The sequence below is a fragment of the Homo sapiens genome, chromosome 9 (assembly GCF_000001405.40).
Source record: "Homo sapiens chromosome 9, GRCh38.p14 Primary Assembly".
Classification (NCBI taxonomy): domain Eukaryota; kingdom Metazoa; phylum Chordata; class Mammalia; order Primates; family Hominidae; genus Homo; species Homo sapiens.
Window position 1 is genome coordinate 137,692,654 of NC_000009.12, and position 13,837 is coordinate 137,706,490.

At 49.4% G+C, this 13,837-nt stretch overlaps 1 protein-coding gene across 31 annotated transcripts in view, besides 1 other annotated feature; it reads left to right on the forward strand.

The window, feature by feature from the left end:
* Nucleotides 1–13,837, forward strand: part of EHMT1 (euchromatic histone lysine methyltransferase 1) — a 217,123-nt gene that overhangs the window by 73,649 nt on the left and 129,637 nt on the right. The gene's annotated exons all lie outside the window — the stretch shown is intronic.
* Nucleotides 2,880–3,564: an enhancer, noted in NCBI's record as "H3K27ac-H3K4me1 hESC enhancer chr9:140589985-140590669 (GRCh37/hg19 assembly coordinates)". NCBI's record gives its function as "activates a minimal SCP1, AML or CMV promoter by ChIP-STARR-seq in naive H9 embryonic stem cells {active_cell/tissue: H9 hESC(naive)}" and the evidence as "EXISTENCE:reporter gene assay evidence [ECO:0000049][PMID:30033119]".

Below are 13,837 nucleotides of genomic sequence, written 5' to 3' on the forward strand. Positions count from 1 at the left end.
TTGATATCTTCCATGTGTGGGAGGAGCTAGATGATCTGCGCGCTGGTCAGAAGCACGTTGCATGGTGTGTGTGTGTCGGACGGCAGTGAACAATGCTCAGGCGCCTGCTCCAGCCCTGGTGAAGCCATCATGCTCCAGTGCGCAGTGTCTGTTGCTGCTGGGTGTGGGAGCACCAAGGAAGAGACCTGGGCAGGAGCTGACTTCAGAGCCGGCTGAGGAGGGGTGAACACGTGCGGGCAGTGGTAGGGTGTCTTTTGGAAAAAAGGGACAATCAGAAGCCTGAGAGTCCGGGGTGGATGTGGCCACAAGGGTTGTCCTTGGAATCGGCTGGACGGCACCTCTGCCTGCCTCACCTGGGGGCTTTGGACCCTTTGGCGAATGGGCACAGCAGAGGTTTTCAGCATGGCAATAATAAGACTTTTTAGAAAGGAAAAGTGTAGTGGGTGGATGGAAAGAGCAGGTTAATTGTTAAACTCGTAGGGGAGATGGGCTGAGGGCCGGAGCCACAGCGTGGAGTTGGAGACGCACAGTGAGGCCGGGCTAAGGGGACTGGACTTGTTTTTGAACAGTTCAAGTTAGCGGGTATCTAACAAGCAGTGACTGATGTCTTCCATGTGGCAGATACTAAACACTTTAATTTTATATTTATTAAATATATTGAATAATATTAGAGCTGATAATCAATTCAGAACTTAGGCATCACCCACAGTCCTGAGTCCTGCAGCCCCCGCATAGCCTGCTGAACTGGTTTTGTAGTTAGTTGTTCCCATTTTACTGCAGAGGAAACGGGCACAGAGAGGTTAAGAAACCAAGGTTACGCATCTCATTAATGACAGAGCTGGGATTCGAATCTAGCCAGTCTATCAAGCTTTGCCTGTCACTTACCCACCACGCAGTGGTGCAGGACGCTGGCCGATACCCCCCACACAGTGGCACAGGACGCTGGCCGATACCCCCCACACAGTGGCTCAGGACGCTGGCCGATACCCCCCACACAGTGGCGCAGGACGCTGGCCGATACCCCCCACACAGTGGCTCAGGACGCTGGCCGATACCCCCCACACAGTGGCTCAGGACGCTGGCCGATACCCCCCACACAGTGGCGCAGGACGCTGGCCGATACCCCCCACACAGTGGCGCAGGACGCTGGCCGATACCCCCCACACAGTGGCTCAGGACGCTGGCCGATACCCCCCACACAGTGGCTCAGGACGCTGGCCGATACCCCCCACACAGTGGCTCAGGACGCTGGCCGATACCCCCCACACAGTGGCTCAGGACGCTGGCCGATACCCCCCACACAGTGGCGCAGGACGCTGGCCGATACCCCCCACACAGTGGCGCAGGACGCTGGCCAATACCCACCAGGCGATGGTGCTGGACGCTGGCCGATACCCCCCACACAGTGGCTCAGGACGCTGGCCGATACCCCCCACACAGTGGCTCAGGACGCTGGCCGATACCCCCACACAGTGGCGCAGGACGCTGGCCGATACCCCCACACAGGGGCGCAGGACGCTGGCCGATACCCACCAGGCAATGGTGCTGGACGCTGGCCGATACCCCCCACACAGTGGCACAGGACGCTGGCCGATACCCCCACACAGTGGCGCAGGACGCTGGCCGATACCCCCACACAGTGGCGCAGGACGCTAACCGATACCCCCCACACAGTGGCGCAGGACGCTGGCCGATACCCACCAGGCGATGGTGCTGGACTCTGGCCGATACCCCCCACACAGTGGCACAGGACACTGGCCGATACCCACCATGCGGTGGCGCAGGACGCTGGGACTGGAGGAGGCGCACAGCTGAGGCCGGCTCCGTGCCCTTCTTCCTGCCTGTGAGGCAGTCTCGTTGGTCGGCAGTCTTGTTGGTCAGCAACCTTGTGGTTTCTGATAGGTTCCATGAATTTTCATCTTAATTTGCTCCATATTAAACTCAGGGAAGGAGTAGATGTTTTCCAGTTTCACTTGGGCGGGTAGAGGCTGTAAGTCTCCACAGGGCTGTGCTCTGAGCCATGTGCCAGTCAGCAGCCCAACCATGGTGGAGACGCGCCTAGCACACAGGCAGGAGCTGTTAGCAGGAGGCTGGCGAGCAGGTGATCAGGCGCGAGGCCTCGGGGTGCCCTTGACCCGGCGAATCTCCTGGAAGGCAGGCCATCAGCTCGGCAGGCCCAGGAATTTGATGTTGCAGGTAAACCAGATTGTCAGAATTGTACTCTCGGTCTTGAAGGAGATGGTAGATAAACTAGAGCATCAGCATATTAGTGGCGGTAAGAACGGCAAGTAGCCGTTTCCAGCTTGACTGCCCTTAGAGCACATACCCTCTGACCTCACACTCACCAGTTATGTCAAGGCACCCGTTCTGGTCATGGCTACTTTTTGGTTTTGGACCTGAAAGACTCTAAACAGACAGGTTTTGGCTGATGGGAATTTGGAGTTTTTGGGGTTTTTGCAGGCAGGTGCTCACACCCTGGGCACCTGGATTACCGGCCGCCCGGCCCTGTGTGCCTCCCCTCGGCACGTGTTTCTTCTGTAAGGAGCACTTAGACTGCTCACGTTCCTGGTTTGCTGATCTTCTCTGTTGGTCCAGTTCCCTGAGGGTACAGACTACAGCCGTTGAGCCTAGGCCTTGGTGGCAGGTGAGCCCCAGAGCTTGGATTGCTGTGAGATCTGTGTGTCGGGCCTGTGCTGGGAGCATGGACGGAGCCCTGGAGCTGGGGTTTGCTCTGACCCCTGCTGGCGAGGGGAAGAAGGTCAGGACAAAGAGCATTGCTTTCCTTGTCTCCCGCCAGGGACTGCACTGCCCTGAAACTCGGTGGCTGAAACAACAATCATCATTTGTTATCCCTTTGAGGGGACAGGAATTCAGACGGCACAGAGGAGATGACTTTATTTTGGTCAATGAGTCTCAGCTGGAAGACTCGAACATGGGGGTGGTGTTAGTGTGGGCTGCGTCCTTCCACATCTGGTGGCCAGTGCTAGTTAGTGGGTTCTTGGCTAGGGCACCCATGTGTGGCCTCCCGGGTGGCGTGGGCCCCTCACACACAGTGGCTAGGCAGCACAGAGCAAGCTAGCAAGGCAGAGCTGGGTTGAGGCCGCCGTCTGTGTCATGGGCTGCCACTTCAGCCACATACTTCAGGTCCACCCAGGCAAAGGAGGGGGATACCGACCCACCTCTCGATGGTGGAGTCTCAGAGTACTGCTGGAGGCACATGAGGGACTGGCAGATATTTGCACTGGTTTTGCCATCTTTGGACAAATGCCATAGCCGAAAGAACTGGACAAAGGCAGTAGTAGGGACGGGGCCACCTTTGATTGTCTTTCTTTGCAGAGAGGCTCAATCAAGGGTTAAGCAGCAGATGGAAAGGGAATCTGTCCTGATATTTTAAAATCCCTTAAATGTAATTTCTGGGGCTACTTTGGATATTAATTGTTTTTTTCCAAATTTAGGAACCAACTCTCCTTTTTCTGCCAAGGGAAAAAACAAAAAGACAAAAGAGGGAAAAGAAAATCTCTCAGATATTGAAAGGATTCATTCTTTTTCTCTCCACCCCTTTCGATAATTAGCTGGTGAAATTGGTATGTGGAAAATGGTTTAAAATTAGGGGGCGGGTAGAGAGTGCTCTTCATCTCACGAGTTTCCTGGACCGAAGTTGCTTCCCATCTTGGAGAAGCCGTTTGGCATTTAAAGTTCCTTCTTGCTGCTGTTACAGTTCCCAAGGAGAAGACAAGTCTCTCTTCCAGATCCTGGGCTTTCCTAAAGCAGAAGGGAGCAAATGGCAGATTGGAATGTGACATTTTTCTTATTTTGACTAGAATAAAGAAAAATCTCCACTGTTAGGTAGAGAAGGCAGTCTTTTGTGTTGGTTGTTGTGAAATGACGTTTTTAAATGTTGATAGCGTGTAGGATAGTCCAGTGGACCAATGTATTTTCTTGAGGGGGAGAAGGACCTTCCTTCTAATAGTCTCCCCCAGGTTGTGAAAGGCAAACATCAAGTTCAACTGTAGAATCACGAAGATAAGTTTAAAGAGACCGCACAAGGGTTTTTCCTTCCATTTTCTTCATGTCTTGCCGTCATGGGGGTATCTTCAAAGCTCGGGTAGGTAATATGTGAAAGTTGACACACCCCTCCCAAAACACAAATGGCAAGGTGGAAGTGTGTAGAGGCCATGCTGGGAAGAATACCAGATCAGTTCCAGGGGAGCATGCCTGCGTCTTCCTTCCTTTCCTCCTGAGCTTGTGTGCTTCTCACTTGTAGTTGTGCCTTCTGGTACTTCTGACCCAGAGGCACAGGACCCCAGAGCAGACCACAGAGCTGGCCCTGTGAAAACAGTGCAGAGACTGGGTGTGGGGACTCACACCTGTGATCCCAGCACTCTGGGAGGCTGAGGCGGGCGGATCGCTTGAGGTCAGGAGTTAGAGACCAGCCCGGCCAATGTGGTAAAACCCTGTCTCTACTAAAAGTGCAAAAATTAGCTGGGCATGTTGGCATGCACTTGTAATCCCAGCTACTTGGGAGGCTGAGGCAGGAGAATCATGTGAACCTGGGAGGCAGAGGTTGTAGTGAGCCGAGATGGTGCCACTGCACGCCAGCCTGGATGACAGAGTTTGTCTGTTTCAAAACAAACAAACAACCAGTGCAGAGTTTGAGATCCATGTGCCTGATTGTTTTAGCACTTGACCTCCATGTTTCTGTGGGGGTCTCTGGTTCCAGGGCAGGCACTCCTGGAGCTCATTTGCCCTGAGGGAGATCCTGCTCTGCCCACTGGGATCGGCCGGCCTGGCCTTGTGCTCACTGCACACAGGGTCATACAGTTTACCTAGCATACTGTTTGAAGATTTTTTTGAAGCGGTTTTAAATTTCTGGTAACTTTAAAGATTTTTCTTTTAGCCTCATGTAGAAGGACACTTTTTGTGGTTAAAATCTTACTGTTGAGATTAGAAATTTTTCCTTTGGATCATTTACATTATATTTGGTAAGTTAGAGTGAATATGTTGATAGAATATTCATTTCCAAAGTAGTTTTTATTCTTGCATCCTTGTAAAATAAAGCCAAATTACAAGAAGTCTTCAGTAATTTGTTTAGTCTAAGAAAAGAACAAAGCTTTCTGGAAAAATGAGCAAAAGAACCCTGAGATAAGATGATTATATTTTCTCCCCGTTAAGTTTTCCGTTCAGATGATTCTATCCATACAGCTCCTTTTTTGTAGTTTGACTTTTTGAGTAAAATGTGATTGCATATTCTGGTCCAAAGGGAGGATGGCACTGTTGTGAGGGCAGCGTGTGAGGGCGGCGTGGCTCGCGGAGGCCTCACTCCCCACTGTTGTGAGGGCAGCGTGTGAGGGCGGTGTGGCTCGCGGAGGCCTCAATCCCCACTGTCGTGAGGGCAGCGTGTGAGGGCGGCGTGGCTCGCGGAGGCCTCACTCCCTGGCTTTCACTCCAGCCTCCTGGTAGCATGCAGAGACACAGTGTGGAAACGGAGGCCACTGTCACAAGCGCTGAGGAGGATCATTATTACTGGTTTGTTGACAAAACGTGGACGCATTTTGTCTTATCCAGCATGTTGTAGAAAAGCAGGGATTGCCGTGGAAACTCCACACTTTGACTAGGAAAAGAAATGATCACTTCTGAGGTAACTGTGATGTAGATGTATTATTGTAGACATGGTAAACTACCTTATTAATCTTCACCTCATGGTGGTATTGACTGGGCGGATTGTAAAATGCCATTGTTTGCTCTGTCTTTGATAAACATGAAGGATCAGGTGTCATCTCTTTAGTGGGTGAGAAAGTCTCTGGAAGACCATTGAAGCTGCCTAACACCAGGTATCGCTGAAAGGATTTTTAAAGCTAGTGAGCAGGTTGCCAGGTTGTTCAAAGGTAGAGTGGGCAGGGAGGTGGCTGGCTATCCCCAGGGCCCAGATGCAGATGGGCAGGGGTCCTTCCTGCCAGCCTGGAACCTTAGGTGCACCCTCAGTCTGTTTCAGGGTCAGGCAGGGCCTAGGTTTACCAGCAGCCATGAAACCATTGAGTCTTTTCTTCATGACATACCAGTGGCCAGTGTCGCAGTCAACACAGTTCCATTGGTTCTTTTTCCTATCTCTTTAAAATTTAAATTTATAAAATTATTTAAATATTTTTATGGGCTTGTCTTTGAATAATTTTAACAGAGATTATCCAAAATATGTCTAGTCCTTATTTGTCTTTGAATTTTAGGAATCTTATAAAGGGCAGTGTCTCAGTTTCTATGATCTTTCCCCCACTATACATTGTTTATTTAAAAAAAAAAAAGTCAGTAGTTTGGTAGAAATTGATGGGGCAGGAGGCCACGCACTGGGAACCTCACCTGCAGGGTGCAGGGTGTGCCCTATTCTTCGCCTGTGGGGGATGGTGCCTCATCTCTTAGGTGGGCTGCTGGTGCAGGTGCGGCTGAGGAGGCTCCACAGGAGCAGGCATTTGAACCCTGAAGGCGCGCTGCCGTCTTCTCTGGAAAGGTGATGCTGAGCTCTTCACAAAAGTTTAATAATTTATACTGTAGGTATAATAGAAATTGTCTTTTAAAAAAGCATCTAACATCTAATGTAGTAAAGTTAAGGTTAACTGTTATGACACATTATATTGGATGCATGGTCATTTCGTATTAAATGACAATGGAGAGGTGTCTATTTGTAGATGAAAAATAATGTTGTCCTGTCAGCCACAAGAAGGAAATTAATTCAGTTAAAAATGTTGGGCCAGGCATGGTGGCTCACACCTGTAATCCCAGCACTTTGGGAGGCCGAAGTGGGCAGATCACTCGAGGTCAGGAGTTTGAGACCAGTCTGGCTAATGTGATGAAACCCCGTCTCTACTAAAAATACAAAAATTAGCCAGGCTCTAATTGCCATGCGCCTATAATCCCAGCTACTTGGGAGGCTGAGGCAAGAGAATCGCTTGAGCCCAGGAGGCGGAGGTTATAGTGAGTCGAGATTGCGCCACTGCATTCCAGCCTGGGTGACAGAGCAAGACTCTGTCTCAAAAAAAAAAAAAAAGAGAAAAAGATGTTGGCCTGGCACAGTGGTACATGCCTGTAGTCCCACCTATGGAAGGCCTAAGTGGGAGGATCTCTTGAGCCCAGGAGTTGGAGGTTGCAGTGAGCTGTGGTTGCACCACTGCACTCCAGCCTGGGTGACAGAACAAGACCCTGTTTCTAAAAATGAATGAACAAGCAAATATGTATATGCTGCCTTTGTTTTTCCTACAGATTATGTTAAGTTGTGATTATTGCATGCTTATTTTATGATTACATTTAGAGGAAGAGACATACAAATAAAGTGGTAGTGTTGTAAAAACTTGAAGCTTTTTATTTTAATCATGAAGAACATTTCAGTTACGTAAATGTATATCATCATGTGGAATAAAGAGGTTACTGTCTTCTGTCCTGTGTTGCTAAAGAGAATTTGTGAGGTCACTGGCATGAATATAGCTACACACCAGTATTTACCTATAAAATACATTTATTTTATGGACTTGACATGTGAGTATTTCTCCTATCCCTCTATCCCTTTTGGATATTTTCTGAGCTGTGAATGTAACTGGGTGTCTCATGTCATGACAGCCTGTAGTGCCCACCTCCCCGGGAGCTGCTTGTGTACTTGGCCTCCACGTGCAGCATGGGGTCTGAGTTCTACTTCACTATCTGGGGAACTTTTTTCCCCTTAAGTTTTTGTGTCTATCTGAACCCACCAATTAACATTTAAGGAAAAAACTTCACGAAGTGGGAAATAATCCTTTTTTCTCCAGCCACATCAGTGCCTTAGACAATATATTAAAGTGGGCATTCGGAAGAAGACAATGTTGTTTTCTAGAAGGATGGTGGAGTCCAGCTCAAGCACGTCAAATGTGTGCTGAGGTGGGCCTCATTAGTCCGCTGTTCTCCTTTCTCAAAAGGTTTGATTTGTTGCTGTTGTGACCCATTTTGATCATGGATTGGGTAGATTTTGCACCCCTGCCATGCCACCCCACCCTCCCTACCATAGCATTCAGCCCTTGATGCTTAGGTACTGTTCTAATTGAGGTTTTATTATAGGCTGTGACATTGATGAGAATCTGGATAGGTCAGTGAAGGAACTGTTCCTGTGATCAATTCTGGCTTTACAAATTGTAGCTCTTGTTTTACTATAAAAAATGCCAGGTTTCTGGGTGTATTGGCTCGTTCTCACACTGCTATAAAGACATACCTGAGGCTGGGTAATTTATAAGGAAAAGAGGTTTAATCGGTTCATGGTTCTGTGGGCAGGCTGTATAGGTTTCTGCTTCTGGGGAAGCCTCAAGCAACTTAAAATCATGGCGGAAGGCCTAGGAGAAGCAGGCATATTTTCACATGGCTGGCAGGAGAGAGAAAGCATGAAGGGGAAAGTGCTGCACACTTTCCAACAACCAGGTCTCATGAGAACTCACTCATTATCATGAGAACAGCAAGGGGAACGTCCGCCCCCATGATCCAGTCAGCTCCTACCAGGTCCCTCCCCCAACATTGAGGATTACAGTTAAACATGAGATTTGGGTGGGGACACAGAGCAAACCATATCATTTTGCCCCTGATCCCTCCTAAATCTCATGTCCTTTTCACATTTCTTTTTTTTTTTTCTCTTGTTTTTTTTTGAGACAGAGTCTCACTCTGTCACCTAGGCTGGAGTGCAATGATGCGATCTCAGCTCACTGCAACCTCTGTCCCCCAGGCTCTAGTGATTCTCCTGCCTCAGCTTCCTGAGTAGCTGGGATTGCAGGCATGTGCCACCACACCTGGCTAATTTTTATTTTATTTTATTTTATTTTGACGTGCAGTTTTGCTCTTGTCGCCCAGGCTGGAGTGCAATGGTGTGATCTTGGCTCACTGCAACCTCTGCCTCCCGGGTTTGAGCAATTCTCCTGCCTCAGCCTCTTGAGTAGCTGGGATTACAGGTGGGCGCCACCATGCCTGGCTAATTTTTTTTTTTTTTTTTTTGAGATGGAGTTTTGCTCTTGTTGCCCAGGCTGGAGTGCAATGGTGTGATCTCAGCTCACTGCAACCTCCACCTCCCAGGTTCAAGGAATTCTCCTGCCTCAGCCTCCTGAATAGCTGGGATTACAGGCACGCGCCACCATGCCTGGTTAAATTTTTTTTTTTTTTTGAGACGGAGTTTTGCTTTTGTCGCCCAGGCTGGAGTGCAATGGTGCGATCTCAGCTCACTGCAACCTCTGCCTCCTGGGTTCAAGTGATTCTCCTGCCTGAGCCTCTCAAGTAGCTGGGATTACAGGTGCCCGCCACCATGTCCATTTAATTTTTGTATTTTTAGTAGAAACGGGGTTTCACCATGTTGGCCAGGCTCGTCTCGAACTTCTGACCTCAGGTGATCTACTCGCCTCAGCCTCCCAAAGTGCTGAGATTACAGATGTGAGCCACTGCGCCCAGCCTAATTTTTGTATTTTTAATAGAGACAGGGTTTCACCATGTTGGTCAGGCTGGTCTCAAACTCCTGACCTCATGATCCACCCACCTCGGCCTCCCAAAGTGCTGGGTCCTTCTCACATTTCAAAACACAAATATGCCTTCCAGCAATTTCCCAAAGTCTTAACTCATTCCAGCATTAACTCAAAAGTCCAAAGTCTTATCTGAGACAAGGTAAGTCCCTTCTGCCTATCAGCCTGTAAAATAAAAAGCTTACTTCCAAGAAACAATAGTAATACAGGCATTGGGTAAATGCTTCTGTTCCAAAAGGGAAAAATTGACCAAAACAAAGGGGCTACAGGCTCCATGTAAGTCTGAAACCCAGCAGGGCAGTCTGAGTTCCACAATAATCTTCTTTGACTCCATGTCTCACTTCCAGGCCACACTGGTGGAAGGGGTGGGCTCCCAAGGCCTTGGGCAGCTCTGCCTCTGTGGCTCTTCAGGGTACAGCTCCTGCAGCTGCTTTCATGGGCTGGCGTTGAGTGCCTGCTGCTTTTCTAGGCGTGTGGTACAAGCCGTAGATGGATCTACCATTCTGGGGTCTGGAGGGTAGTGGTCCTCTTCTCACAGCTCCACTAGGCAGTGCCCCAGTGGAGACTCTATGTGGGGCTCCAGTCCCACATTTCCCATCCACACTGCCCTAGTAGAGGCTCTCCGTGGGGGCTTCGCCCCTGCAGGAAGCTTCTGTCTGGACATCTGGACATTTCCATATACTTGGCCTCCACATCCAGCATCCTCTGAATTCAAGCAATTCTCCTGCCTCAGCTTCCTGAGTAGCTGGGATTACAGGCATGCGCCACCACAGATGTATGGATGATATCCATACATCCTGTGAAATCTAGGTGGAGGCTCCCAAGCCTTAACTCTTGCCCTGTGTGCACCTGCTGGGTTAACACCATGTAGAAGCCTTGGTAGCTGCCAGCTTGCACCCTTTGGGTCAGTGTCCTGAGATGTATCTGGGGCCGTTTCAGCCACCACTGGAGCTGGAGTGGCTGTGATGCCGGACACCATGTACTGAGGTTGCACAGAGCAGCAAGGCCCTGGGTCTGGCCCACAAAACCATTCTTCCTTCCTAGGCCTCCAGGCCTGTGATGGGAGGGGCTGCTGCAAAGGTCTCTGAGGCATTTTCCCCATTGTCTTGGCTATTAACATTCAGCTCCTCATGCAAATTTCTGTAGCTGGCTTGAACCCCTTCCCTGAAAAATGTGCTTTTTTTCCTACCACATGGTCAGGCTGCAAAATTTCCAAACTTTTATGCTCTGCTTCCCTTTTAAATATAAGTTCCAGTTTCAGATACTCTCTTCGTGCACGCATGTGAGTGTATGCTGTTAGAAGCAGCCAGGCCACATCTTGACTGCTTTGCTACTTAGGAATTTCTTCCACCACATACCCTAAATCATCTCTCTCAAGTTCAAAGTTCCACAGATCCTTAGAGCAGGGACACAGTGCCGCCTGTCTCTTTGCTAAAGCATAGCAAGAGTGACTTTTACTCCAATTCCCAATAGGTTCCTCATCTCCATCTGAGACCTCCTCAGCTTGGACTTCATTGTCCATATCACTGTCAGCATTTTGGTCAAAACCATTCAAAAAGCCTCTAGGAAGTTCATCTTCCTTTCTTCTTCCTAGCCCTTTAACCTGTTCAAACTTCGGCCCATTACCCATTTCCAAAGCTGCTTCCACATTTTCAGGTATCTTTATAGCAATGCCCTACTTCTCCAGTACCAATTTTCTGTATTAGTCTGTTCTCACACTGCTATAAAGATATACCTAATTCTGGGTAATTTATAAAGAAAAGAGGTTTGATCAGCTCATGGTTCTGTGGGCTGTAGAGGCTTCTGCTTCTAGGGAGGCCTCAGGAAACTTAGCAATCATGGCGGGAGGGCAAAGGGGAAGCGAGCACATCTTACCTGGCCATAAGGATGAAGAGAGAGCAAAGGGGGAAGTGCCACACACTTTCCAACAACCAGATCTTGTGAGATATATCACGAAAACAGCAAGGGGGACATCTGCCCCCATGATCCAGTTACCTCCCATCAGGCCCCTCCCCCAATATTCGGGATTACAGTTCAACATGAGATTTTGGTGGGGACACAGAGCCAAACCATATCACTATGTGTCTGTAAACAGTGAGGTTATGATGTGACCTCAGCTCTGCAGCCTGTAGGGGAATGTGTGGGAGGAAGGAGCTCACTGAGCTCGGGACTTGGAGGGAAGGACTGGGCCACTTTGTTCTCATAAACAAGCAGGACCAAGACCGGAGGCTTGTGGCCTTGCCCTGGTTGTAGATTGAGGATTTTCTATTGGTTTTAATTTTAAGAAACATGGACATTTAAGATAGTGTTTGGTTTTTTTAATGGTATTTAAGAAGAATAGAGTTTTAGGACTAAAATGAGTTCTGTATTTCTGTTCCGAGAGGAGTGTCCTTGGGTCATCCCTTGGCCATTTGTCTTGGTCCTTCACCCCATTCCCCTTTAGTTTGCAAGAATCTTCATTATTGCTGCTTGGTATCCTCTCTTCTTTTTACTTTGATCCTTCTATCTTTTTATTTAGGATTTTGTATTTAAAAGGCCCTTTACTTGAAAGAAGCATCAGAATTCCTGGAAATCCCAGGCTCTGGGAGGGAATTTCCCTTCCTCCTGCCTTCCCTCCCTCCCGCCTGCCTTCCCTCCCTCCCGCCCTCCCTCCCTCCTTTTCTTCCTGCCTTCTTTCTTTCCTTTCCTTCCCTTTCCTTTCTTTGTTCCTCTCTTTCCCTCCCTCCCTCCTTTCCTTTCCTTGTTCCTTCCTTCCTTTTCTTTCTTTCCTCCCTTCCTTCCCTTCTTTATCCCCTCCCCTCCCCTCCCTCCCTCTCTCTCTTCCTTTTCCATTTTCTTTTCTTCTTTTGACAGCGTCTTCCTCTGTCACCCAGGCTGGAGTGCAGTGGTACAACCTTGTTTCAAGGAAACCTTGAACCAGCCTTGGTTCAAGGGAACCTCCCACCTCAGCCTCCCAAGTAGCTGGGACTACAGGTGTGTGCCACCACTCCTAGCTAATTTTTAAAAATTGTTTGTAGAGATGGGGGTCTCACTGTTTTGTCTAGGCTGGTCTTGAACTCCTGAGCTCAAGCAGTCCTCCTTCCTTGACCTCTCAAAATGCTGGGATCACAGGCATGAGCCACTACACCGGCCTGGGAATTCCTTTAACTTGCGTTTGAAAGTTGGACATGAAATCTCCTGAGTGTTCTTGAGTTTGGGCAGATGTACTGAGGATAAGAAGAACTTCCAAGGAGCTGGGTTTTTCTGGACTTGAGATAATGTGATTTTTAAGTGGCAAGAACTGAAGCCAGTGTTTGAGTGAGAATTGGAATGTGTGCATGCTTCGTGTTCATGCTTTGCACACACTGGTTTTGTTCTCTTACCCACCGTCCTGGTGTGTACTCTACATTGTGCACAAGTTGTGGCACTAAAAATGTAAGGTCTGTTGCTCAGGTGGAAATGGACTGGTCATGTGTTTTGCCGTGCGGGCGCAGAGGTCAGGCTGGCTCTGTGGTTAGCAGGTGCAACCCACGCGGAAGGGGAGGAGGGGTTTCCTGACTGAGCGAGAAGCCCCAAGTCAGGGCTGTCCTCCCAGGGTAGGTTTGGAGTAGGCACTGCACTCAGTCTCTTGTTGCTGTGAGGTTGGGGGATGGCCCTAGAGGGCTGTGGCAGTCTTGGGGCTGTGAGGTCTGGACCAGCCCTGCCCTGGTACCTGTACTGACCAAGAGAGGCCCACGGTCCCCTCCTCTCCCCACAGCTCTGGGGCTCCTGTCTACCTCTGAAAAGTGAGTTGCAGTGCCTCCCTCTCCTGGACTTCCAAATTGCGAGGTGGGGAAGGCCCAGGCCGTTCTTCCTGGAGTGGACCTGGACCCTTCACTTCTGCCTGGGCTCCTCTGCCTTGTGCGTTGGGGGGTTGGGGGTGGGGCGTCAGCAGGGGTGGGGCATCAGGGGCGGGGCTAGGCTCTGCCAGTCAAGGCACACGGGGCCATGGCAGGGCAGGGCATGCAGAGCCGACCTGGCCTGGGGGTTGGCGAGTCCTGGACCATCCCGGGGAGTTGTAGGTTGGGGCTCCTGAGGGAAATGCAGATGATTTTTTTGGGAATTTTTTGGCTAGGCTTCCTGGACTGGGCAGAGCTTCTGCAGTGCGGGGTCTGAGTCCAAGTAGTTTGCTCACTCCAGCTAGGTGGATGTTGTGAGTGGAAAGGTCTTGATTTAGGATACATAAAACACAATTTTGTTTTAACTAATTCATTTTGTTTTGCTTAGATCAAGGAGAAGGAATAATGTGCTAGGCTGAATGATTGAGATGAGACAGCATTTCTGTCACTGTTATGAACAGGAGCCCTTCCTCC